This window comes from Homo sapiens, chromosome 3 (genome assembly GCF_000001405.40).
Source record: "Homo sapiens chromosome 3, GRCh38.p14 Primary Assembly".
Lineage (NCBI taxonomy): Eukaryota > Metazoa > Chordata > Mammalia > Primates > Hominidae > Homo > Homo sapiens.
Window position 1 is genome coordinate 38,295,928 of NC_000003.12, and position 26,879 is coordinate 38,322,806.

At 47.5% G+C, this 26,879-nt stretch overlaps 1 protein-coding gene and 1 pseudogene across 8 annotated transcripts in view, besides 1 other annotated feature; one reads left to right on the forward strand and one right to left on the reverse strand.

The window, feature by feature from the left end:
- Positions 1-22,648, forward strand: part of SLC22A14 (solute carrier family 22 member 14) — a 39,744-nt gene extending 17,096 nt beyond the window's left edge. For 4 of the 8 annotated variants that reach the window (XM_006713416.4, XM_047449237.1, XM_047449236.1 and 1 more), the window contains 10 exons: positions 10,100-10,615; positions 11,327-11,430; positions 11,639-11,793; positions 13,027-13,195; positions 17,072-17,192; positions 17,461-17,558; positions 17,800-18,014; positions 19,631-19,784; positions 20,397-20,597; positions 22,271-22,648. In XM_006713416.4, the coding sequence (XP_006713479.2) occupies positions 10,100-10,615; positions 11,327-11,430; positions 11,639-11,793; positions 13,027-13,195; positions 17,072-17,192; positions 17,461-17,558; positions 17,800-18,014; positions 19,631-19,784; positions 20,397-20,597; positions 22,271-22,322 (1,785 nt within the window). In that variant the 3' untranslated portion in view covers positions 22,323-22,648. Of the gene's footprint in view, positions 1-10,008; positions 10,616-11,326; positions 11,431-11,638; positions 11,794-13,026; positions 13,196-17,071; positions 17,193-17,460; positions 17,559-17,799; positions 18,015-19,630; positions 19,785-20,396; positions 20,598-22,270 lie in introns of those variants that run through there. The other 4 variants (XM_006713418.5, XM_006713417.4, NM_004803.4 and 1 more) reach the window with 4 other exon arrangements.
- RNU6-235P (RNA, U6 small nuclear 235, pseudogene) lies at positions 7,846-7,952 on the reverse strand (annotated as a pseudogene).
- Positions 20,621-21,157: an enhancer, noted in NCBI's record as "H3K4me1 hESC enhancer chr3:38358039-38358575 (GRCh37/hg19 assembly coordinates)". NCBI's record gives its function as "activates a minimal SCP1, AML or CMV promoter by ChIP-STARR-seq in naive H9 embryonic stem cells {active_cell/tissue: H9 hESC(naive)}" and the evidence as "EXISTENCE:reporter gene assay evidence [ECO:0000049][PMID:30033119]".
- Positions 22,649-26,879: the final 4,231 nt, after the last annotated feature.

A 26,879-nucleotide genomic window follows, 5' to 3' on the forward strand; every position in this document is an offset into this window, starting at 1 on the left:
CAGGAGGGACACCAGGGACAAGACTCCCTGGGTTTATAGCCTAGATGCCTAAGGATGCAGCCTAGAGCTTCCTTAGATCCCTTTGGAGATACAACTTGCTAGAGGAAATGAAAGTCTGAACCATTAGTACCTAGGAGGCAGGGATCGGAGGAAGTAGATTCAGAGGTAAGGAGAATTTTGGGGCTACACTTTCAAGAAAGTCGTGGTTGGGACCCAGGAGGTATGAGTCAGAAGGAAAGGTAGGGGCACACGCATGGGCGGCTGTTGAATAGAGACTTCTGGCTGTGCCATGATCTCAACAGGCTAATGCTGGGAGTTCGGGATGACAGCTTTCTGCCTCTAGTCAGCCCTCGGCTTCCCCAGGAAAATTGAAAGTGGAAGCTGGTTCCAGGCAGACCAACGTTCCCAACCCAGAAGGGTTGGGGGTTGTTAGAAAGCCCTTCCCCAAACAGCCTCACACCTTGAGTCTTAAGTCCGGCAGCCATGCTAATCATTTTTAACCGGCTGACAGGTACCTGGTATTTTCCTCCAATTCTAAGGAAGGATAGGACAGAATAGCAAGCAAAAGTAGTCCAATATTACTCACTGCTTTGGAGATCCCTTTGTGGTTGCCAAAATGTTACTGGGGGTCCTTGCTTCCAGAGCTCCCAAGATGGTGGCAGGCCACTTCCAAGATGGTGGCGGGCTGCTTCCAAGATGGTAGCAAGCCTCTTGTTGTCTGACTTGGGGTTCTTGGCCTCACAGATTCCAAAGAATGGAACCTTGGGCCATGCAGTGAGTGTTAGAGCTCTATTAGAAGCTGTGGGTCACAGAAGAGAGCCGTGGAACCCAGCGACTAGTGTTCAGCTCAATTGGGATGAACCCGGGCACTTAGCTGTGCAGGAACAATGGCAAGCCTTTAGCCTAATCCAGAGCAGCAATGGGCACCTCGCTGGATCAGGAGCACATGAGACACCCTGCCAGATTCGGAGGGGTGGAAGTCAGCGGTGGGTCTGTGACGGCGACAAACAGCAGTGGTGGACGGCGAGTGAAAGCTCAGCTCAAGCTGTAACAAACACGGACCAGAAGAGTGTGCAGTTGCAAGATTTAATAGAGTGAAAACAGAGCTCCCATAAAATGGGAGGGGACCCAAAGAGGGTAGCCGTTGCCAGCTCGAATGCCTGGGTTTATATCCTGATCATTTTCCCTCCCTCTGTGCTCTCAGGCAATAGATGATTGGCTATTTCTTTACCTCCTGGTTTTGCCTAATTAGCATTTTAGTGAGCTCTCTTTACTACCTGTTTGGTCAGGTATGAGCTAAGTTGCAAGCCCCGTGTTTAAAGGTGGATGCGGTCACCTTCCCAGCTAGGCTTAGGGATTCTTAGTCAGCCTAGAAAATCCAGCTAGTCCTGTCTCTCAATGTCTTCTTAGTCTCCTACAGTCTGGGAAAGTTCCTCAGCCTTTTTCATGCTTTAATACTTGAAAAGTACTAGGCAGTTATTTTGTAGAATGCCCCTAAATCTGTTTGGTGGTGGGATTTTTTTTTTAATTTTCTTCCACTTTTATTTTAAGTTCAGGGGTACATGTGCAGGATGTGCAGATTTGTTACACAGGTAAATGTGTCCCATGGTGGTTTGCTGCATGGATCAATCCATCACCTAAGTATTAAGCCTAGCATCCATTAGCTATTCTTCCTGATGCTCTCCCTTCCCCACCCAGCCTTGTTTGGTGTTTTCTTATGATTATATTAAGGCATATATTTCTGGCAAGAATACCTCAGAAGTGCTGTTGTGCCCTTAGTACATCATATGCAGGGGTGTATGATGTCATCATATCCCATTACTGGTGATTTTAATTTTGATTACTTGGTTAAAATGATATCTGCCAAATTTCTTCACTATGAAGTTATTATTTTCCCCTTTGTAAATGATAAGTATCTTATAGTGAGACACACTCTGATATTATGTAATTATCTGTTTCTCATATTTTCATCCTCTAATTTTAATATTCATCAATGATTCTTGCCTGTAACAATTATAACTGGTGCTTGCCAAATGGTGATTTTTGAATTTTCATCATTTTTTCTACACTTATTACTGCGGGATTCTACAGTAAAGAAGAGCTGTCCCTTTGATACTACTTATTTATTCACTTATTTATATTATTATGGACTCATATTTATTCTATGGGTTATAACATATTACTATCATTATTTATTTTATTGCTAAAATTGTCCCAGATTTGTCCACTGGGGACACACCTTCAGTTTGGCTCCTGTGTTCTTTTGATGTGCCCCCATCATTTTAGGGTGCTTTCTTGCTTTCTGGCACCACAAGATATTTTATAATCATCTTGTACTGTCCCTGCTCCAACCCTGGAATCAACCATTTCTCCAACGAACCCTGGTTCTTTTATTTAGGAACCAATATCTGAGTACTAGGTGTGCTCATTGCTACTAAGCTGTTATTTTTTCTAGGCCATCTAGTGGACAGAGGTAGAAAATAGACTTGCACACACATCTATCTATCTATCTATCTATCTATCTATCTATCTATCTATCTATCTATCTAATCTATCTATCATGAGTTCATTCTGGTACCTTTGGTTCCAATCCAAGACCACAGTCTTCATTCTAGTCTTCCCTGTCTTGTGTGTGTGTGTGTGTGTGTGTGTTTTAGACGGAGTCTTGCTCTGTCACCCAGGCAGTGGCGCCATCTCAGCTCACTGCAACCTCTGCCTCCTGGGTTCAAGCAATTCTCCGCCTCAGCCTCTGGAGTAGCTGGGATTACAGGCAGGTGCCACCATATCCAGCTAGTTTTTGTATTTTTTAGTAGAGACAGGGTTTCAACATGTTGGCCAGGCTGGTCTTGAACTCCTGACCTCAGGTGATCCACCTGCCTTGGCCTCCAAAGTGCTGGGATTACAGGTGTGAGCCACTGTTCCCAGCTTCCCCTGTCCTTTATTGTAACTCCTTTCTCTGACAAAAACCTAGCTCTTATTATCTACAATATAGTTACTTATTTGCTTAAATATTATACACATAGTTTCAGAACTGCAAATCCATCTCTGCGAGAAACAAATTCACTAACTAGGGTAACAGTACTTGTGTACAGTTCTTTTCATCTTTAGCTTTACAATATGTAGTTGATATGCTATTTTTCAGTTACTTAGATTAGTCCTTTTCTTCCCCATCCTCTTCAATGCAGTTATGATGTTTATTTGTATCACATTAGGTTTATTTGCTGCTGTTTGGATTACTTCTTTGTACTGGTTGGTTTTAGTTAATTACTTATTTGGGGATAGGGTGTATGTGAAACCTTACTAAGGTTCTAAAATCAGAATTACACAAAAAGCTATACTCAGAGAACAGTCTCTCCCCTCCCATTCCGTCTACCCCATTCCATTCCCTCATTATTTTCACCCATTCCCACCCACTCACCCTCAGAGATAATTAGTCTCATTAGTTTGTGACTTATCCTCCTGTATTTTTTTCACAAATGAGCAGATACATGTATATTCTTATATCCCCTTTTATTACATGAAGGGCAGCTTACTAGAGATACTCGAGCATTTTGCTTTCTTCACTTACCAATATGGTCTGGAAATCATTCCATATCAATGAATAGACATTTTCCTCATTCTTTTTTACAGCTGCATAATGTCACTTTTTATTTTTGAGATAGTCTCACCCTATCGCCTAGGCTGGAGGGCAGTGGAGCATTCATAGCTCATGGCAGCTTCAATCTCCTGGGCTCAAGTGACTCTCTTGCTTTAGCCTCCCAAGTAGCTGGGACTAACAGCATGCATCACTACACCTGGTTAATTATTTTATATTTTGTAGAGATGGGTCTTATTTTGTTGGCCAGGCTGGTGTTGAATTCCTGGGCTCAAGCAATCCTCCTGCCTCAGCTTCCCAAAGTGCTGGGATTACAGGTGTGAGGCACTGCACCAGTTCTAGTATTGCACTGAGTGGCTATAACACTGTTTATTCAACCAGCCTCCTATGTATATGGATATTTAGGTTTTTTCCCAATATTTTGTGATACAATCAATGCTGCAGTGTGAATAACCTTGTACACATGTATTTTCTTACTGTTGGAAGTGTGTCTTCGGGATAAATTCCCAAAGTGGGATTGCTAAATTAAAAAGTAAGTGTATACATAGTTTTTTAAGTGTATCAGTGGTCTGTAAGACTGCTCTCAGGCTCTGCAATTCACCAGAAGCATTCATGGGCCTCAAAAATTGTTCCAAGGCCAGGTGCAGTGGCTCACGCCTGTAATCCCAGCATTTTGGGAGGCCAAGGTGGGCGGATCACCTAAGGTCAGGAGTTCAAGACCACCCTGGCCAATATGGTAAAACTCTATATCTACCAAAAATACAAAAATTAGCCGGATGTGGTGGTGTGCACCTGTTGTCCCAGCTACTCGGGAGCCTGAGGTAGGAGCATCACTTGAACCTGGGAGGCGGAAGTTGAAGTGAGCCAAGATCACACCACTGCACTCCAGTCTGGGGGACACAGTGAGACTTCATCTCAAAAAAAAATGTTATTATACACACTGCTACAATTTATTGCAACAAAAGGGTACAATGCAAGGTCAATAAAGGGAAAAGGCACATTGGGTGGAGTCTAGAGGATACTGGGTACCATCTTTCCATCTTCTCCCAATGAAAGTACATGGGAAGCCCTTACTCCCCCAACAATGAACTGCAGCAACATGTGTGAAGTCTTTCTGCCAGGGAATCTCCCTGAGCCTAAGAGCCCAGCATTGTTATTGGGGGTTGAACATGAAGCCACACAGTGCTTTCATGATTTAACTGTAATTACTGAAACTGCATTGCCCAATGTCAGACCCCAAGAAGGAAAGATGTTCAGCATAAGGCATAAGCTATCTAGACAAGCTGGTACAATGCGGTTCAAGGTTCCAAGCATGCCAAACACTCTTCTTAAATATTTTTTTAGAGATAAGGTCTTGCCCACTGCAGCCTTAAACTCCTGGGCTCAAGCTATCAGGAATGGCTCAACCACCCAGGGCGCTAGGACTACAAGTGTATTCCACCATGCCTGGCTAATTTTTTTGTTTGTTTTTTTAGAGATGGGGGTTGGGTCTCGCTATATTACCTAGGCTGGTCTTGAACTCCTGGCCTCAGGCATTTCTCCCCCCTCAGCCTCCCCAAATGCTGGGATTACAGGCATGAGCCACTGCACCTGGCCTCAAACACTCTTAATGGTAGCACAGGGAACACTCCAAAAGTTCAATTCCAGAAGCCAGCCAAAGACTAATCACTCAAGCAGTCCTTTCTGAACATGTGCAAGACATAAACAAATCAGGGTGTCTGGGTTAACTCGTTCTTTCATATCAGGTATTGCCAAATTGTCCTTCAGAAAGGTTGTGCCAGTTTGCATGCCCATCAGCAATGTATGAAAGAGCTTGTTTCCCCACAGCCTCATCAACAAAATGTGCCAATGTGATAGGTGAGAAATGTCACAGTATTGCTGTAATTAGCATTTCAGCAAATTTTGAGTGAGTTTGAAGATTTTTTTCATTGAATGGCATACTTTTACAAGTTATATTTTCTAATTGTTTTGGGTTTACAGAAATGCAATTGACTTTTATGTATTCACATTATACGCAGCTACCTTGCTAAGCTCTCCTATTGTTTCTGATTCTCTGTGGATTCTTTGGGGTTTTCTTTTCTTTTCAATCTTTATGTCTTTAATTTCTCTTTCTTATCTCATTGCACTGGCTAGGGCCACCAGTATAATGTCAAATAAGTAATTGTGGGCATCTTTGTCTTCCCTCTGATTTTAAAAGGGATACTTTTAATGTTTCCTTTTTAGGATTTTTTTTTTTGTGGAGGGGATAGTTTTTTCGTTATTAAATTTTTTCATTTTTCTTAGGATTTTTCTTTAAAAATCACAAATTGTTGAATTTTATCAAATGCGTTTTCTGCATCTATAAACATGATCATATGGTTTTCTCCATTGATCTATTAAGTATTGATCTATTACTTATATAAATATAAGTATTTATATATTATCTAGGCCAGGCACAGTGGCTCAGGAGCCTGTAATCCCAGCACCTTGGGAGGCCAGGGCAGGCGGATCACCCAAGGTCAGGAGTTCAAGACCAGCCTGGCCAACATGGTGAAACCCCGTCTCTACTAAAAAATACAAAAATTAGCCAGGCGTGGTGGTGCATGCCTGTAATCCCAGCTACTCAGGAGGCTGAGGCAGGAGAATTGCTTAAATCCAGGAGGCGGAGGTTGCAGTGAGCTGAGATGGCATCACTGCACTCCAGGCTGGGTGACAAGAGTGAGACTCTGTCTCAAAAAAAAAAAGTATATATATATACATATATATATTTATATATACACATATATATTTATATATACACATATATATTTATATATATACATATATATTTATATATATATTTATATTTTCTAATAGTAAAACCATCTTTGCATTTCTGGTTAAAACTGTTTTTAACTGGCTGTGCATGGTGGCAGATTGCCAAGGCAAGCAGATTGCTTGAGCTCAGGAGTTCCAGACCAACCTGGGCAACACAACAAGACCTCGTCTCTACAAAAAATATAAAAATTAGCCAGGTGTGGTGGGTGCACCTGTAGTCTCAGCTACTCAAGGAGGCTGAGGTGGGAAGATTGCTTGAGCCTGGGAGGTCAAGGCTGCTGTAAGCCGAGACTGTGCCACTGCACCCTAGCCTAGGTGACCAAGTGAGACACTGTCTCAAAGATAAAACTGTCTTTACTATGATATATTTTTCTCTCAATGTACTATTAAATTTGATTTACTAACATTGTATTTAGAGTTTTTTGCATCCATTTTTGTGAATGAAATGTATCTGTGATTTCCTTTTTGTACTGTAATTTTCTAGTTGTGCTATCAAAGTTAAAATTCTTTGGGAGTATATATGTTTGCCTATTCCCTGAAAAAAAATTATATAAATTGGACTTCCTTTGTGGGAAGATTTTTTTACTTCTACTTTAATTTAGTCATTATAGAACTTTTAAGACTTTCTATTTATTCTTAAATCTGTTTTGAGTAATTTTGTTTTAGAAATTTAATTCACCTAAGTTTTTAAATTCATTGGCATAAAGTTGATGTTAGTATCCAGTTAATATTTTCAGTCTTGCTATATCTGTATATTCCTTTTTGCATATATAAAAGACTTATTTGTATCTTCTTTTTTATTTTATTTTTTACATAATTTCACTAAAGATTTGTCTATCTTATTAATCTATTCAAGGAACTAATTTTGAACTTTGTTGATTCCCTTTCTTATACTTTTGTTTCTAGTTCCTTAATTTTTGTCTTAACTTTACTACGTTCTTCCTTTACTTTCTTTAGATTTATTCTTTTGTGTTTTTTCCCACTTCTTATGATGGTTGTTTAGTTGATTAATTTTCAGTCTTTCTGATTTTCTGTTATAAAGCACTTAAAGCTATAAACTTGCCACAAGTACCACTTTTTATACCACCCATATGTTTTGATATGTTATGGTTCTTACTGTCACTTATTTGTAAATATTTTTAAACTCCCACCATGATTTCTTCTTTAACTTGTATTCACAAGTTTTTTTTTTAACTTAAAAACATATGGAGTTATCTCTATCTCTATCATCTCTATCTCTATCTTCATTCTATCCTCGTGGGTTAGAAGACTCAATATTGTTGTTAAGATATAAATTCTTCTCCACTATAGATTCAATACAATCTCAATGATTGTATTTATTTAATACAATCAATATTTGAATTTGCTTACATTTTTCCCATTTTTACCACTCATTATTACATCTCCAGCTGTCCTCCAGAGATCATTTTCCTTCTTATCTTTCATTTATTTATTTAAATATGGAACACTTTACAAATTTGTGTGTCATCCTTGTGCAGAGGTCATGCTAATCTTCTCTATATCGTTCCAATTTTAGTATATGTGCTACCGAAGCCAGCACCCTTCTTATCTTTTAAAAGTTCAATCAGGCCGGGCGCGGTGGCTCACGCCTGTAATCCTAGCACTTTGGGAGGCTGAGGTGGGCGGATCATGAGGTCAGGAGATCAAGACCATCCTGGCCAACACGGTGAAACCCCATCTCTACTAAAAAAAATACAAAAAATTAGCCGGGCGTGGTGGCGGGCACCTGTAGTCCCACCTACTTGGGAGGCTGAGGCAGGAGAATGGCGTGAACCTGGGAGGCAGAGCTTGCAGTGAGCCGAGATCACACTACTGCACTCCAGCCTGGATGACAGAGCGAGACTCTGTCTCAAAAAAAAAAAAAAAGTTCAATCAAATCAGGTCTCTTACTGTGTGTTCTCTCAATTTCTTGTTATCTCTATAATTACCTTTATTTTACCCTAGTTCTTGACAGACAATTTTGCTGGGTATACAATTCTATGTGGTCTATAATTTTCCATCCACATTTTGAAAATATTCTTCGCTCTCCTGGTTTCCGTGTTGCTTAACTTTCATCTTCTTTTTTTGAGACAGGGTCTTGCTCTGTTACCCAGGCTGGAGTGCGGTGGCGTGATCATGGCTCACTGCAGCCTCGACCTCCCTGGCTCAGGTGATCCTCCCACCTCAGCCTCCCGAGTAGCTGAGACTACAGGCACATGCCACCAAGCCTGGCTAAATTTTTTTGAATTTTCTTGTAAAGACAGGGTTTCACTATGTTGCCTAGGCTGGTCTTGAACCCCTGGGCTCAAGTGATCTACCTGCCTGCACCTGCTTCTAACAGGAGACTGCTGAGGCTCTTCATTAGTCAGTGGCCTGCCTTCTCTCCAGCTGATTTTCAAGATCTTTTCTTTGTCATTGGTGTCCTGCAGCTTCATTGCAATGTGTCTAGCCATGGTTTTCTTTTTTATTTATCGTGCCTAAGTTACATTTCCTGGATCTAAGAATTTGTTTTAAAAGTTTTAGAAAACGTATTGTTTTTATTTCGTCTCCATTTCTCCTTGTGGGCTTCCAATTTGATACATGTTAAATCTTCTATCTACCAAGTCTCTTTACCTCTCTCTCACATTTCAGCAATTTATTCCAGTTCACTGATTCTTTGTGTCAAATTTGTTTAACTTTCCTCTTAGTGTTTTTATCTCAACAACAACAACTTGCCGTTCAACAAGCTTTCATTTTTAAAAGTTCATAATCTTCCTTCCAAAAGTGTCTGCTTTTTCCTGATTGTTGTTTTAAGTTCATTTTCGTAATTACAACCTTTAAATCCTTAAAAAGTTCATACAATAGCTGTTCTAAATTTTGTATCTGACAGTTTCAACATCTGCAGTCTAAAAGTCTGTGGTTTCTGGATTCTGTCGACTTGTAGAGTGGCTTGCCTTCTCAAGCTATAATCTCTTTGCTTGATGTACCTCTGTGAGAGTCTTGCAGAATCAACTTGAAGAAATTTTCCTTTAGAGAAGGCTCGCTTCTGCCTCTGCTCTGAGCCAAGGGGTGCCCCGCACCAGGAACTGTTACCCCTTCTGAGAGTTTTGGCTCAAAACAGAGTTTTAAGCTTAGTTTCCCCTCCTTGCTGCTGTTGCAAGGTAATATGCTGACAGTCAGTACTGCTCACCTTCCTCCTTCCCCACTCCTGCCTTTCCAGTTTGGCTCCATGCTGCACTGCCTCACCACTGCACCAGCCTTGGTGCCCCATCTCTGTGGCCCAGGCTTCCAGCCTCCCACCTTGGGCCCACCTCCTGGCTACAGCCGACGATGCAGATCTTTGTTTGTTTTTGAAGAAAAGGTCCCTAGAGACCTCTCCTACCTTTTGCAAGACCACTGGTGTCTCAGTGTGTGTGTAAACAAAAAGCTTGAGTTGTGGGGAAGTTGTAGGAGAGTTCCTAAGAACTTAGTCCTTCATGACAACAGAAGCACAGCATTTTCTAAAACATTAAAAATCTCAATTACACTAAAACTCCAGGATGGTTGGGCCAGGGGGGAATAAATCATGTTAACTAAGAAAGCAAGGGAGGGAACTACTGAGAACGTCAAGGTTGGAATCCATATTGCTTCAAGCCAGAGGCCAGTTCCTAGTCGGTGGCTCCCATGCTGGTCTCTGATGTTTAGGAAGTGGTGTCAGCAGAGACTGAGCTGCACCCTTTCTTTGGACAGATGGCAGGAGAGGAGAACTTCAAGGAAGAGCTCAGATCCCAGGATGCTTCCAGGAACTTGAACCAGCATGAGGTAGCAGGACATCCACATTCCTGGTCTCTGGAGATGCTGTTACGCAGATTGAGGGCTGTCCACACCAAGCAGGATGACAAGTTTGCCAACCTCCTGGATGCGGTGGGGGAGTTTGGCACATTCCAGCAGAGGCTAGTAGCCCTCACCTTTATCCCCAGCATCATGTCGGCCTTCTTCATGTTTGCTGACCACTTCGTGTTCACAGCCCAGAAGCCCTATTGCAATACCAGCTGGATCCTGGCAGTGGGCCCCCACCTGTCCAAAGCTGAGCAGCTGAATCTGACCATACCCCAAGCACCCAATGGCAGTTTCCTGACATGCTTCATGTACCTTCCTGTGCCTTGGAATCTGGATTCTATCATCCAGTTTGGCCTCAATGACACAGACACATGCCAAGATGGGTGGATCTATCCTGACGCTAAGAAGCGATCGCTGATCAATGAGGTATGTCTTGTCATGGGTTGTCTGTAACTACCCTACAGGCTCAGAGTTGTGCCTCCCACCCTCACTGAATGGGTGGGGAAACCGAAGCTCAGAGATGGGAAGCCATTGGCCTGAGGTCAACCTGCAGAGGCAGGGTCTGGGCAGAAAATTAGATTCCTGTTGCCCAGCCCTGGCCCTGCCTATCTATAGAGTACATTTGGGGTAGAGATGGGTGCTGCATGGCAGGGTTTTCCATCTGTCCAAGAAATCGCTCCTGTAGTTGTGGTTCTGACCTCAGAACTCACAAAAAATAGGGCTCGGGGAAAGAAGCAGCTTTGATCAGGCATCTCTTACGGGGCTTCCCAACCCGAGCTGCAATCTAGGCCCTTTACAACACAGACCGCCCTAGCATGAATCTGCAGGTTGGGCCTAGCACCTGCCTTTGGGAAAGGGTCTGCACTGATTCCTGCCTTTGCTCAGCTACCCCCTACCCCACACACACATCTTGGCCTATGCCTCTGGTCACTCTCTCCAGGCCCAGCTCTCAGGGTGGAGCAGGTGCCAGAGGGGTTGCAGAGGTAACAGAGCAGAGGCAACAGCTGAGGCACGCTGCACACTGTTAACTGCCCCTACCCCAGGTCCCCTTGGCCTATAGGTCCCACGCTGGGATGAGTCTCAGTCTCTGGACCCAAAGGTGGGCACCCGTGGCCAATCTCTGTGTCTGACCCACAGTTTGACTTGGTATGTGGCATGGAGACGAAGAAGGACACTGCACAGATCATGTTCATGGCAGGGCTCCCGATAGGCTCTCTCATCTTCAGGCTCATAACTGACAAGTGAGTCCCCGGGAGTTTCTGCTGGTCCCCGAGCCATCCCAACTCCTCCTCATGGGCATTCAGGGTTGGAGTGTGTCAGGCTGAGGGAGGTGAGGGTAGGGGTTCTCCAGGGACCCATGGATGGCTCAGGGCCTGGCCCAGGTGTATCCGGCTGGGGCCAGCCCGGGAGATCCCGGCACTTGGTGCAGCCTCCCTTTGACACCTGTAGGATGGGCCGCTACCCTGCCATCCTGCTGTCACTGCTGGGGCTGATCATCTTCGGCTTTGGGACAGCCTTCATGAACAGCTTTCACCTGTATTTGTTCTTTCGCTTTGGCATCTCGCAGTCAGTGGTGGGCTACGCCATCAGCAGCATTTCTTTGGGTGAGACTGGGCCTCAATGGGGCAGGGCAGGGTGGCACAGGGGCATGGCGGCATAGGCGGGTGACAAGGGGACATAGTGGCAGGGGGCGTGGCGGCATAGGCAGATGGCAAGGGGGCGTGGTGTAGCTGTAAGAGGGCATGGCGGGGGTGTGGCAGCGTGGGCATCTGCTGGGATCCCACAGGACACAGAGTCAGGGGCCTAATTGGACAGGCAGAAGTGGAAGGGATCTCCGTTCCTGGCTGCCTGGAGATGTCAGAGAATCAGTGCCCTGACTGCCCTTCCACCTTCATCCTCCTTCCTAACTCCCTCATACACCACACCTTCCACCGCATACTCTTTGCATACCCCCAAGCCCCATGGGTTACATTTACTGAGCCCTTAAGAAAGGCCAGGCAAAAGAAAAAACAACAAAAAACAGAAGAAGAAGGAGGAGGAGGAGGAAAGAAGAAGAAAGAAGGAGGAGGAGGAGGAGGAAAGAAAAAGAAAGAAGGAGGAAGAGGAGGAGGTGGTGGTGGCAGAGGAGGAGGAGGAGAAGAAGAAGAAGAAGGAGAAGGAGAAGAAAAAGCCAGGCAGCTGCTGAGCCCTTTATATGCATTGTCTCATTTCCTCCTGATGCAGCTGTCTTCAGCAGGCACTATTCTATTACTCCTTCAGCTGAGGAGGACTCTTTAGCCTCAGAGAAGTTAACCAACTTGCACAGGGCCACACGGCAACTAAGTGAAAAAGCTGGGACTTCAACCCAGGCCTATGAGACACTAAAGCACCCAGTGCAGCCTTATAGCTGCAGCTGCCTAGTTGCTCGGGGTTTCCTGGCAGGAGAACCTCTTCTCATTGGGAGCCTTAGGCCTAGGTGGCCAAAGCACGAATACACTCAGAGCAAAAACAAGGACAATGATTCCTTGCCTGACCATGTGTCAGGCCACGTGTCTGGTATTGCGTCTTTTCTATAAGAGGCACGTGGTCAGACAGGGGATGTGCAGAGGGAGCAGCCAGGTGGAGCGGGATGGAAGCTGTGTATATGATTAGGAGATAAGGGTGTCCCCTGGCGGGAACAGAGGCACTCTACCGGGCTCTGAGGGGCTGTCTCTGGACCCAGTGCAGAGACGAGCAGAAGAAGCTTTGCCTGATCTCAACTGTCCAGAGCAGGTGGGGACACCCAGCAAGGCTGGATGCAAGGGCAGCCCTGGGGACCCTGACGTAACCATGGTTTTGTCCTCTTGGCCTCTGCACAGCCACTGAGTGGTTAGTGGGTGAGCACCGGGCCCATGCCATTATCCTGGGACACTGCTTTTTCGCTGTTGGGGCCGTGTTGCTGACAGGGATCGCCTACAGTCTTCCCCACTGGCAGCTGCTGTTTCTGGTGGGTGGGATACTTGTGATCCCCTTCATCTCCTATATCTGGTGAGCAAGCGAGTACCGGGCATGTACAGGGCTGGGTCTGATGGGCTGGATGTCGATGAGTATGGAGGGTCCTTGAAGCTGTGGGAATGGGTGGGATTTCCCCTGGGAGAAAGTGCATGTGGATGGGATGAGATAGGAAGGCACCAAGGGCAGAGCCTCTGAACCTCAGCATTAACCTCCTCCCCGACCCAGAGAAGACCCTCAAAGAGATGTTAGAGAGGTGGTCAGAAAACCAGGAGGAAGAGTGTTGAAGGCCAAGGGGTTAAGGCCAAGGGAAGGGTCAGTGTTGAAGGTAAGAGGGGTGATGCTGGGAAAGGGTCTGCCAGCCTTGGTGACCTTCTTGAGGTGGCTTCACTGCAGTGGCAGAGGGTTGAGGAGTGACTAGGAGCAGAAGAAATTCAGCCAGGAGATGACTTTCTTAGAAAGAGGGAGAAAGGGATGATTTATATGGGCAACTAAGACAGAGTCAGGGAAGAGTATCAGATGTTTTGAGTGTAGGGGAGTCACAGACAGGAACCTAAGAGATTAAAGCTGGGAGAGGACAACTGATGGGGCAAAACTCGGAGGAATAAGGGTTGAGAACAAAAGTGAGATGCCAAAAGAAAGAAGGTTAACCTTGGGCAGGTGGGAAAAGAGAGGGACAAAACAGAAGGCAGAGAGGGAGGTGAGAAGAAGCTGAAGGAACCCACGTGTGAAGGGTTAGGCAGTTCTGCATGAAGCAATGATCATATTTAATCTTGAAATTATTACATTTAATCTTGACCCCTCTAGAAGAAGTATGCTATTCCCATGTCATGGGAGGTGGGGAGGAGGGAGAACTGAGGCTTCAGAGGGTGGAAATAACTTGTCTAACAGCACACAGCTAGAAAGTGGGGCACCTGGGATTTGAACTCAGGGGCTGTCTCCAAAGCCTCTGCATTTTAACTGTACCATATGTAGTAAGAATGATAAAAGATGGGGTTAACAGCATGGGGGCTGGGCGCAGTGGCTCATGCCTGTAATCCCAACACTTTGGGAGGCTGGGGTGGGAGGAGCGCTTGAGGCTAGGAGTTTGGGACCAGCCTGGGCAACATCGCAAGACCCTGCCTCTACACAAAATTTTAAAGTTAGCCAGGCATGGTGGCACACACTTGTAGTCCCAGCTACTTGGGAGGCTGAGGTGGGAGGATCACTTGAGCCCAGGAGATCATGGCTGCAGTGAGTTATGATTGTATTACTGCACTCCAGCCTGGGCAAAAGAGTGAGATCCTGTTTAAAAAAAATTTCAGTCCAGTTCAATTAAAAACTTTAATCTTACATCAGATCCACAGCTTTTTCCTGGCCCCTCGCTCAGGATAGTGGCCAAGGGGGATGAGGTCTGTTCTGACCTATTGTTCTTCCTCCTGTCTCCTTGTTCTGATTTTCCAGGTTCTAGGCATGGGATAGGGACATCAGATAAAATAGACCAAAGACTGACATGGCAGGGGCTATTATAGTCTCTCAGGGTCCTCTGTAGGGTAGATATTCAAATACCATCACTCTCAGGTCCATTCGTGGGTCTTCTGAGCATTGGAATTTCCTAATGCTCCCAGTGCTCTGTTTGTGACCTCCCTCAGCTCCTGTCCCTGGCAGTTCACCCCATAACCTCTTTCTGTAGGGGTCTCCTCATCCTAGCACATGGGGTGCCTTTAAGACAGCAGGGTCCACTTGGCCAAAAAACCCCACTGTTCCCCAGCCTCCACCCTGTTGTGGTGGGCTGCTCCAATCAACCTCCTGCCTTCATTATACCCAGATGAGAGATGGGCATCATTCTCCGGGTTTATGTAGGCCCTCAAACTCCAGGTGGCACATATTAACTCTCCTATAATCTCTCTCACTGTCTGGAATACCAGGACAAGCCCCCATGTTTCTGAATTAGCAAGTTCCAGCCAGAGTGGGATGGCAGATGTCCTTTTTCAAAGGCAGTCCCCGCATCTATCTAAGGAGTTCTCTTGAACTCCCCTTTGCCTAGCTCGAGTAGATGAGAGTTGTATGGGGAGTGAGGAGGAGAGATTCAAGACCCTGTCACTTCCATGAACTGGATTCCCAGCCTCTATTGGTAGGCTGTTAGCAGTGAGCACCAATGTACTATGGGTGCTGAAGGTCCCTCTTTTGACCTAGTTGTGTCCCCTAGGCTTTGGCAGTCTGGGCCTGTGATGGAAGGGGCAGTACCAATGATCTCTAATGTATCTTTGGGGTTATTCTTTTAGTGTCCTCAAGGATAGTGCCTGGCTTCCGCTGATTTGTACTGGCCTCCTTATCAAACAGTAGCTTGGCCACATCCTTGGTGTTCTCTCCCAAACACACTTTGTTATTCATGGAAAATGAATAAACAGCATGGCCAACATGAGCATTTGACAAATCTTTAAGTTCTGCTTCCCTTTTAATTATAAATTCTAATTTGTTTCTCTCTTCTCACATTTTACTATAAGTAGTCAAGAGAAGCCATACCACACCCTCAACACTTTGCTTAGGGACTTCTTCTGCCAAATGTCCTATTTCATCACTTACAAGTTCCTTCTTTCACAAACACTAAGGCATGAATACAGTTCAGCCAAGCTCTTTGCCATTTTGTAGCAAGGATTGCCATTTCTCCAGTTTCTAATAGTTCCTCATTTGCATCTGAGACCTCATCAGAATGTCTTTATTGTCCATATTTACGTCAACATTCTGTTCATGACCTCTTCAATGCATTTGTTACATTTCTCCCATTGTGTCCTCCCTCCCATTCTCTTTGTCCCTGAGAGTTGGTATCCTTTTCTTATTCCTGTTTTTTCAGTGGACATGAGGCCAATCCCCCATCTTTTTGAAGAAGTCTCAGTTTAATGGCTTTCTTTAGGAGAGTTCCACAGCCTTAGAGTGGAAAATGATGACTGATTGCTGAACCCTGGTGGGAGAGAGGAGGAGCAGGGCAGGTATAAGGAATGAAGTTGTCTCTAGTGTCTTGAGTGTGTGTTTATGGCAACCAGCCAGAGTCCTGGTCGGGGAGGGAGTGCTGGTATAAGAAATCAGCAGGCACAGTTTTATTAAAAAGTTATACCACCTTAGGGGACTGAGGCTGTACCAGTCCCCAAGTACATAGCTCTGCCTCTGTGTCCTCGGGCAAGCCTTTTACTCCTTGAGCCTGGGAGTAAAATGGGGATAATCATACTAGGTCCAGGTTTGGATGAGGATTAAACAAGACTATATATACAAGGGCACCAAGCACCATTTTTCACACATACGTGCTTTTTATGCCAATCTGTGTGGATTCTGACAGCCTGAGAGGATGGGAAAAAACAGAGAGGAGTTATTCTGAAGTCAAAGGCAATAGAGATGTGGCGGGGGAGAGATGGGACAGAGTAGAGACCTTCACTCACCCCTCCATTCACCCAGGCAGAGTGCTGGGCACTGGGGTCAGACCCAGGGTCCTGCCCCCTCACACTCCTCAGGCTGTTGGGGAGACAGATAGGGAACAGGAGAAATCCCAACTAAGGGCATGGGGGCTCTACAGGAGGCTGTGGGCATGGAGGTCGGAGCCCTCAGCATGCCTGAGCAGATAGGGGTGGCCCCCTAGATAGAAAAGGAGAGAGCTCTCAGTGATTACTGAGGGCAAATCAAGGAGACTGGAGACAGAGGCAGCCGGTGGTCAGGGTGTTACCTAGCAGCAGTGGAGGCCATGTGAGGCTTAGACAGGGGAAGGGCTGACCACCAGGGAGGAGCAGAGGGCAGCTCGAGGTCAGTGGTGGCCTTCAAGGCCCTGACATCTGAATCACCTCATGCTGGCACAGGATGGCCACAGCTGAGGCCACGAGAGGGCCAGCAGGGGGTCTCTGGGCATCATAGAACGGTGAGATAAGAGAGGGGCTGGCCACGCAGGATTCTCCCGGAGTCCCCGCGGTGGCTGATGATGAAAGGGAAGGTGAAGGAGGCCAAGCAGGTGCTGTGCTACGCCGCAAGTGTGAACAAGAAGACCATTCCTTCAAATCTGCTGGACGAGGTAAAGGGCTTCTGGCCAGGAGTGGGGCCGGAGCAGTGGGCTGTGGAAGGGCCCCTTCCCTCCTCATCCTTTCAGGTGGGACATTGGTCCAGAGGGTGCCCCCAGTCCACTGCTTAAGGACAATGGTGACAGCAAAATTGAACCCTGCCAGGGAAGGCCAGAAGCCAGCTGGCACTTTCAGGGACAGGCAGGCCTTGTGGGTGCTGTGGGGCTGGGGAGCAAGCTGGGGTCTTGGCCCTGCCTCTGACTGGTCCTGCTTGTTCTGTAGCTGCAGCTGCCCAGAAAGAAGGTGACTCGGGCCTCTGTCCTGGACTTCTGTAAGAATAGGCAGCTCTGCAAGGTGACCTTGGTGATGAGCTGTGTGTGGTGAGTATCCAGGGCTCGCTGGCAGGGACTGCGAACAGGTGCGCAGGCTGGAAACTCTAGGGAGAGGATGGGAATGGTCAGGCTGCAGGGGAGGCAGCCCAAGGACACAGATCACAGGTCTCTGTGCTTATTTCTCTCCTCCGTTCCTACCCTGACCCTTGCTGCTCTGCCTCTGTCTTTATTCCTGGCTCCGTGTGTGTGCGCGCGTGTGCACGCGCACTTGCCTCCTGGCTTCATCCAGGTTTACCGTCAGTTACACCTATTTTACGTTGAGCCTGAGAATGAGAGAGCTGGGCGTGAGCGTCCACTTCAGACACGTGGTCCCCAGCATCATGGAGGTGCCTGCCCGGCTGTGCTGCATCTTTCTCCTCCAGCAGATTGGGAGGAAGTGGAGCCTGGCTGTGACTCTCCTCCAAGCCATCATCTGGTGCTTGCTTCTCCTTTTCCTCCCTGAAGGTACAGCTCATCCTTCCCCTGTGGCCTGCCCACAGCCTTCCTGCTTCCCAAAACCCCTCCCCAGTGCCGCCTGCCACGGCCGGCCACCTAGACACCCTGGGAATCAGCCTTCTGCACCTATAGCCCACCCACCCCACAGAGGCCCCAGCACCTCCAATCCCTGGAGCACTGCTCTTCCTGGGTGGGGTCCCCCAGACAGGGCACCCACACTCTCTCAGAGGCCTGAAAGAGGAGGGTGTACTTTCCAGAGGACAGCAGGCAGCCTTCTTCCACCAGATTCCAATCCACCTTAGAAGTAGGTCTAATGGTTACATGTGAATAAATGATGGCAAAAATATTCCTTCAACTGCTGCCCAGGCCCACCTGTCATCTGTAGCCCCTTTGACTGGGAAATGCCTGTTGTTCCCTGTAGCTTCACCAGGAATAACCTGACCACTGAAAAATTGAGTGTAATATGGGGCTCAGCACTCAGGAACAGCTCTTGCATGGAGGCCCCTCCTTTCCAGAGGGGCTCAGTGCCCCATTCCTGCTGGCTTAGCACTAGAAAAGGAAACAGGAAGGGCTGGTGTTATCTTCAGAATCTCAAAGAGCCCTAAACAGTGGATACACCACAGGTCCTAGAGCTGGAGCGATCTGTGCAGCACATGCACTTAGAATGACTGCCTGCGGAGCCCTTTCACAGTCGCAGCAAGGGCAGGGGAGGCTAGATCCGGCCCTGCCTGGAGGGGCTCCCTCCCTTTCTCCAGGGCTGGAATTGTGTGTGTCTGGATTAGGACCCTTCCACTCCCAGATGCTGGCAGTGTAGATTGGCTAACACAAAATGTGGAAACAAATTCATTATTGAATATTAATTGCCTGGTGGTTTTTAAAAAAGCAGGTCTACACTGAGTCAAGCAGCAATATGTAAACTCAGAAGTGTGAGAGAAACTAGGAATGGACTCCCCGGTAGATAAAACTGGATCTCTGATTTCATCCCAGAGACAAGAAAAGCCAGGACTGGAATGGGAGTAAGGCCGGGGCAGGGTCCTGCAGAGGCTGACAGGCAGGCAGGCAGGGGCTGAAGCCCCCAGCTTCACCAGGTCTGAGGAATGGGCTTTCCCCAGTTTCCCCTTCATTGTGCCTGTCTAGCTGGCCGGAGAACATCCTGGAATGTTTGGGAGCCATCCCAGCCATTCAGGCCCCAGGAACCAAACACCCCCTTGCTCTGACCACCTTGCAGAGCCCCGGTGGTACAGCCCTGAGCAGGGGTCCCAACCCACAGGACACAGGCCTGGCCCTGAGTGGATCCCCAGTGGGGTGAGGAAGCTGCAATTGGGTGAGGAGGTGGAACGAAGACACAGCCTTGGAGGCAGAGAAGGGGGTGTTGGGTGTAGCATGGGAGACAGTGGCCTGAGAGGCCATGGGTGTCCCAGGGGACCTCCCCACCCCTGCTGACTAACTCTGCACTGCAAATGTCCTGCCTTCCAGCCTGGCTGGGCCTCTGACAACCTGCCACTCCTCTGACAGAATGCCTGAGCCTGCTGGCCAGCTGGGCAGGTGGTGGGGAAGGCTGTTCAGATGCCTTCTGGGAGGGGTCAAGGGAGGGCTGATGAGTGGAACTCCTTCACCCACCCCAGGGGAGGATGGCCTCAGACTCAAGTGGCCACGTTGTCCGGCCACAGAGCTGAAATCCATGACGATCTTGGTGCTCATGCTCAGAGAGTTCAGCCTGGCCGCCACTGTCACTGTGTTCTTCCTCTACACCGCTGAGCTCCTCCCCACTGTGCTCAGGTATGGGGTCTGGTGGGCGAGGGGGCCATGGGGACATGCGCAGGGAGTGACAATGACAAGATTAATGCAGCAACTAAGACAAGCATTCACCTGGTGACAAGCACTGTGCTAAACAGTTTACATAAGTGATCTCATTTAAACACCACCAGAAAATCCCCCAAATGCCATCACTAACCCTATTTCAGATGCAAGACCAGACAGATAAAGGCACTCGATTAAGGGCAGACAGAGCAAGCAGCAGAGCTGGGATTTGGCCCCAGGCAGCCTGACTCCAGCCCCTGCCTTGCACTCACTGCCTGGAAAGTGTTTGGGCCACTTGGAGGCTCAGATCCTTCCCTGAGGTTGGCGATGGGAGCACTATCTTCCTGCCTGGCTGGCATCACTGCCTGTGTCCTCTCCCCGCACATCCACATAATGCTGCATGGTTTCTGCCTCTCCCCCTCCTCATCCCCCTTGAAGGAGGCCCAGAAGAAATTATTGCCTACTTGGAATCACACAATGAGGATGGGACAGGGTGGAGACTGGAGAGTGTGGGTTTTCATGTAGCTGCTGGCCCTGCCCAGCCTCTGAACCCGGCAGACCCCTCACAGGAGCTCTCACCTCCACTTTCAGGGCGACAGGTCTGGGGCTGGTGTCTCTGGCCTCGGTGGCTGGAGCCATCTTGTCCCTGACAATCATCAGCCAGACCCCCTCCCTCCTGCCCATCTTTCTCTGCTGCGTCTTAGCCATCGTGGCCTTTTCCCTCTCCTCCCTGCTGCCGGAAACGCGAGATCAGCCCCTCTCCGAGAGCCTGAACCACTCCTCACAGATAAGGTAGGTGTGGGAGCCTCCTGGGCTGTGCCAGCACGGGGCCTGGCTCTGAAGCCTTGGCACAGAGAGCGTGCGGGACATTGTCCATCCCCGCCCCTCTGCCGGAGAGCCTGTGACTCGAAGGCTGCCATGTCCGCAGCAGTCTCTCCGCTCCTCTGGCTGCTGCTGTCTACCTGCTCCCACCCAGCCTCTGCCAGTTCCCATCCTGCTGCCCCTCCTGACCCGGACTGGGCCATGTCGTCTCCTTTCCTTGCCCCTGCCTGCCTGTCTGGATGGGTGCATTGCCTTTGGGCATACCCTCCAGGGGCACTCCTCCCAGAGGCTCCCTCTCCTCCCAGGGACAGGGGACTGGCTTGGAACTGACTCTGAGTACATCTCTTTTCCTGTCTGAACTCCTAGTTCAGTCCTGGTTTTCATAAAAAACCCAGTCTTGATGAAGGACTCTGGCCTCTTGGCCCCAGCAGCCCAGGACCCCATTTGGGAACTGGGTTCCACCCAACACCTCCATGGGCACTTCCGGCCTCTGATCTCCCAGGTGTCCCCTGGAGAAGACTTGTCATGATTGGCAGGACCATTCCTTCTGGGTTTTCGGCCAATGAACACGCTCTCCCTGGACCTGAGGGGACCTGAGCGCCAGTGAGGAGCAGAGGTTGCCCGAGGCCCTAGAGTGTCCTCTGCTCTGTGCCACAGCAGTCACTGCCTCTGGCCTTTCTCTGCCCTCCTCCCTACCATCTTCCCCCTGCCCTCCCTCCCTGCTCTCACTGGAACCACACATGCTAGGCACTGTGCCAGGGCTTGACTGTCAAAGGTCAGAGGTCAGCACTCCCCATCCTTGAGAAAACCATAGCTTATGCGGAGACAGATGATGCAAACAGTTCCTGCTAGAGGACTCTGACAGTGGGATATACAGGATCTGTAGGAACCTAACAAGGGAAGAACGTTAATTTGGGGAGTTGGAGAAAATGTCACAGTGACAACTGAGTAGGGCTTTGAAGGATGGATAGAAACTTGCCCCACTGTAGAGAGAGGAAGTTCAGCGCCGCACGGGAAGAGAGGATAATGGTTATGGGCACAGGTTCCATGTGCCGCAACTTCCTAGTGTGTGCACGGAGAAGTTACCTCATACCTCTGAGACTCAGTTTCTTCATTTGCAAAGTGGAATGAGAACAGAGTAATAACAATAGCTAAGATGAATTGAGCATTTGTTATGTGTTAGACCCTGTTCTACACATGCCTTATCTCGCTCTATCCTCAAAACAATCAAATGCAAGGTAGGTTCTGTCACTATCCCCATTTTACAGGTGAGAACATTGGGGCACAGAGAGGTAAGGCCATGTAGCCCAGCCATCCTCTCCCATGGGTTTTTTTGAGAGGATTAAACCTACATAAAGCAGCTGGCACAGGGTCTGGCATGTGGCAAGTGCTCAGTAAATGCTAGCAGTGAAGATGGTGGACCAACTTCAAAGACAGAAAAGAGAAGGGTCTCGCAAGGGTTGGGAGATGGAGCAGGCCTGATTCTGGAGGCTCCTGGCAAAGCTCGGCTGGGGACCTGCCGGAGTGAGAAAGCCTCACCTCTTGGGAACGCAGGGTTGGGCGCTGCTGAAGGCACAAGCCGCTGCTTTTCTCAGCTTCCAGAAAGATGTGGCCCTGGACTCATCCTCTGATGGCTCTTTCAGGAATAAGGTCAAGGACATGAAGACTAAGGAAACATCATCTGATGATGTCTGAGGAAGCGGCCAAGAATGTCATTCTCAATGCCCAGATCCTGAGATTGGACCCATACCCTGTCTCCAACCCTGCCTTGAAGCAATTCAATAAAGAGGAAGCAAACAGCCAGGCTCCCTGAGGGCCAGGCCCCCAGACCATCTTGGGTTGGAATTGAGTGGCCAAGTATGGGGTCATGGATTCCAGGCCACAAATTCCAGGCCTAGTTCAGTCTGGGGGCAGGGTCAGTCCTTCTCCCAGGCCAGCCCTTGACATTAAAAAAAATGCCCCCTCCTTCTGCAGGAGCTCTGCTGTGATTCATTCCAATAAAGGTACAATGTTGGTCTTGAGATGGCTGGGTCAAAGTTGCCCATGTGTGGAGAATGCAGAGGCCCTGGCCTGGAGGAAGATGGGTTAGACAGACTCCTTAGTGTCTTTGTCTAATCGTTCAGGGACAGTGAGGAGCTCTCTGGATGGGGGCAGGGGAGTGGGGAGGGCAATGTCTATGAGGGCCAGAGGTGAAGTGAGGGCAAGACTGTGCCTGCACACCAACCATACCCACTAGCCCATGCATCCGCCAGCATGGCGAGTTTCCACCTGAAGCACAGGCTGAGGACAGATTTCAAAGCTCCATTTTATGCACTAGTCAGGGCAGGGATGGAATGTAAAGGAACATTGAGAACTTCTCTCATTTGTCCCATTGCATAGGGCTTTCTCACCATCTTTCTGCTGATGCTGCAAATAAACATGGTCTTGGGAATTACCCAAATCGGTCCACATCCCTGGGGATGCTTTCCTGATGACTCCACCCTAGCTGACCTCTGGCCTCCACCACTCTGAGGATAAGCCCCCATACCCCAGCTCACACCCTAACTGCCCTGAAGGTGATTCTGCCCTTCCCAGCTGGCATGGGGGTTCTGCCAGGCAGGGCCCAGGACTCCTCAACCAGACTGTGAAGTCCTTGGGTCAGGCCTTCGGCACTACCTCCTCTCTCCCTGTCTTACCTCCTCCACGCTTGCCTAGTTTATTGGAAGATCATGGGCTTGCAGAGAATAGCTCTGGTTCGACTCCTCATAGCCTCTGAGGGAGGAAGACAGATAAGCAAGTCAGTTCTCATGGAGCCAGGGCAGCAAGGCCATGGATCTCCCAGGCAGGTTGGAGTCCAGTGAAGCAGGGAGTGGCCTCCAGCATTCCCAGCACTCTGGCCCAGCACACTGCTTTGCGCATGTGCTCCCAAGCTTTGGGACACCAAGAAGCTGGTGTCCATGCCTTTCCCTTTCAGTGTCATTTTCTGTGCCTACTGTTCTTGACTGAGTTTCCTAGGAGGGTCTCCAAAGTGGGGTTTGAAGGGCCAGAAAGTGATCTCACAAAGTGTCTGTTCATAGGACCACAGGATGCTCGAAAAGTCTCTGTTGCTCTTTCTGGCAGAGGCCTGTGTGTGAGCTGTGATGCCAACATATTAGCCTTATTTAAACACCTCTCCTCAAGTTACTTTGCCAGGAATCACCTAGTGCCATAGGGAACAGGAGGAAGAGAGGGGTCAGGACAGAAAACTGATGGGGCAGTGTGGGTGTGAAGGAGCTGGTTGTACAGGCTGTGGCTGTCAGCGAGACCAACTGCACTCCTACACGCTTTCAATTTTTCTTAGGTGGCCAAGGCTTGTCAGTCAGTTCCAGATAGGACCTACCTAGTTGTTTACTGAATCAATGGCTAATAATATTTAGAGTTTGACGTTATGTATTTTACTAGACTAGACCCATGCTGTCCCATACAGCAGCCACTAACCAGACGTGGGTATCGAGGGCTTAAAATATGCCTAGTCTGGGAGGCTGAGGTGGGCGGATCACCTGAGGTTGGGAGTTCCAGACCAGCCTGGCCAACATGGTGAAACCCCCTCTCTACTAAAAATACAAGAATTTTTAGTGGGCATGGTGGTGGGCGCCTGTAGTTCCAGCTACTCCGGAGGCTGAGGCAGCAGAATTACTCGAACCCGGGAGGCAGAGCTTGCAGTGAGCCGAGATCGCGCCATTGCACTCCAGCCTGGGCAACAGAGCGAGGCTCCGTTTCAAAACAAACAACAACAACAACAACAACAAATGTTGCTAGTCTGATTTGAGATGTGCTATAACTGAAAAACACACTGGATTTCAAAGGCTTAGTACAACATAAAACAAAATATCTCAATATTTTTAATATAGATCACATGTAAAAATGGCAGCATTTTGGATATATTGAGCAGATAAAACATTAAAATTAATTGCACCTATTCTTATTAATTTATTTTAATTTTACTTCAAGCTCTGGGATACATGTGCCGAACGTGCAGGTTTGTTACATAGGTATACATGTGCCATGGTGGTTTGCTGCACCCATCAACCCATCATCTAGGTTGTAAGCCCTGCATGCATTAGGTATTTGTCCTAATGCTCTCCTTCCCCTTTCCTCCCATCCCCTGACAGGCCCCGGTGTGTGATGTTCCCCTTTCTGTGTCTATATGTTCTCATTGTTCAACTCCCACTTATGAGTGAGAACATGCGGTGTTTGGTTTTCTGTTCCTTTGTCAGTTTGCTGAGGATGATGGTTTCCAGCTTTATCCATTTCCCTGCAAAGGACATGAACTCATTCTTTTTTATGGCTGCATAATATTCCACGGTGTATATGAATTGCACCTATTCTTAAAAATGTTTTGAAATGTGACTGCCAAAAATTTTAAAACTATACATGACTTGCATCTGTGTCTCACATTATAGTTCTATTACACAGAACTAGACTAGAACATTCCTTTTATTGGTCTCACACGTCATTATTATCACACAGGTATCTTGGTGTAATGCCTAAAATTAAATGCCAAAATTGTATGAAATTGTATGTTGTCAATACTCTTTCTCACACGTGATATTTTTATGATACATTAGACAGTGTTGACATGTTGGCAGGAGCCTCCTTGTGTGCAGACAGAGAGAGAGAGAGAGAGGTCAGTAATCTTGCAGCTTGTGATGGTACCCATGGATGCCTGTGAACTGTGAATTCTGGATCTCTAATTTCCTGGTCACTGACTACTTGCCTTTGTGGAATTCTCATCTGCTTCTTTTAGCTGTTTGTATATTTCTACCACTGTTCAAGCATTGGCCTAAATGTGGCAGCAGCCTCTTGTTCTAGGTTATCCCCTTTCATCCCCATCCTTGACATGGGATGCTGCTAACAATTTACCAAAGGCCTTGAGGTCATGTTGAGGGGATGCACGGGGTGAGCGTGAAGCAGCTTGGTACAGGATGAGGCCTCCAGGACGTGAGTAGAAAACTTAGCTCCCCATGAATGCAAGCCCCAAGCCCAGAAACAAACCTAAACACTTGTGAATCCCATAAGGCCTTGGCAGAAGCAAACACTAAAGCAATCCACAACAAGGTTGCCACAGTAACTCAAGACTTAACAGGGCTTCTAAGGAAGATGAATCTCAATGAAATGAACTTGTAAGTAAAAATTACTGAGCACGTGAAGAAATAAAATGGCATAAAAACAGAAGGAATACACTGGAGGGTTTGCCGTCAATGAACTAGTGGTGAGAGTGCTCTTTCTGAAAAGACTTTGTTTAAAATGTTCAGAGATAAAGTCACATAACACCTAAGACACAAACTTGGAAAATGACACCCATAAATCCTAGAAATGAACACTATAGCGGCTGAATTAAAGAACACAATAGAGAAGTAAAATCAGAATGAGACACTGCACAAGAAGGAGTGAGTTGCTTGATTATTTAATTATTAAATATAACTCCCCTGTCTCTATTAATGCTTTTTGCCATAAGTTTTCTTTCACTTGACATTCTTACAGTAATCTTTTAAACTTTTTAAGTGAAGAATAACATATGTAGAAGTGCATAAATCATTTAATGTGTTTTTGTTTATTTGTTTTTAGAGACAGGGTCTCGATCTTGTTCCCAAGCCGAAATGCAGTGGTGCAATCATAGCTCACTGCATCCTCGATTTCCGGGGCTCAAGTGATCCTCCTGCCTCAGCCTCCCAAAGTGCTAGGATTACAGGTGTGAGCCATGTCCAGCCCTGTTTTTTTCAATATCACAAAGCACATACCGGGTATCCATTGCCCTTATGAAGAAACAGAAAATTATCAGCATCCCAAAGCTCCCTCCTTCCTCTCTCAGTCACCACCTCCCCTTCCTTCAAGGTAATTACTCATTTCTAACAATATAGGTTACTTCTACTTGTTTTTGAACTTTATAAGAGCAGTCACAGTTTGAACTCTTGCTTCTTTCACTCAACTCTGAGATTCATCCATCATAGCTCACTGCAGCCTCAAACTCCTGGGCTAAAACAATCCTCCTGCCTCAGCCTCCAGAGTAGCTGGGGCTACAGGCACATGCCACCATACCTGGTTAATTAAAAAAAAAAAACTGGAGGCTGGGCACAGTGGCTCATGCCTGTAATCCCAGCACTTTGGGAGGCGGTGGGTGGATCACTTGAGGTCAGGAGTTCAAGACCAACTTGGCCAACATGGAGAAACCCCACCTCTACTAAAAATACAAAAATTAGCCTGGCATGGTGATGCATGCGTGTAATCCCAGCT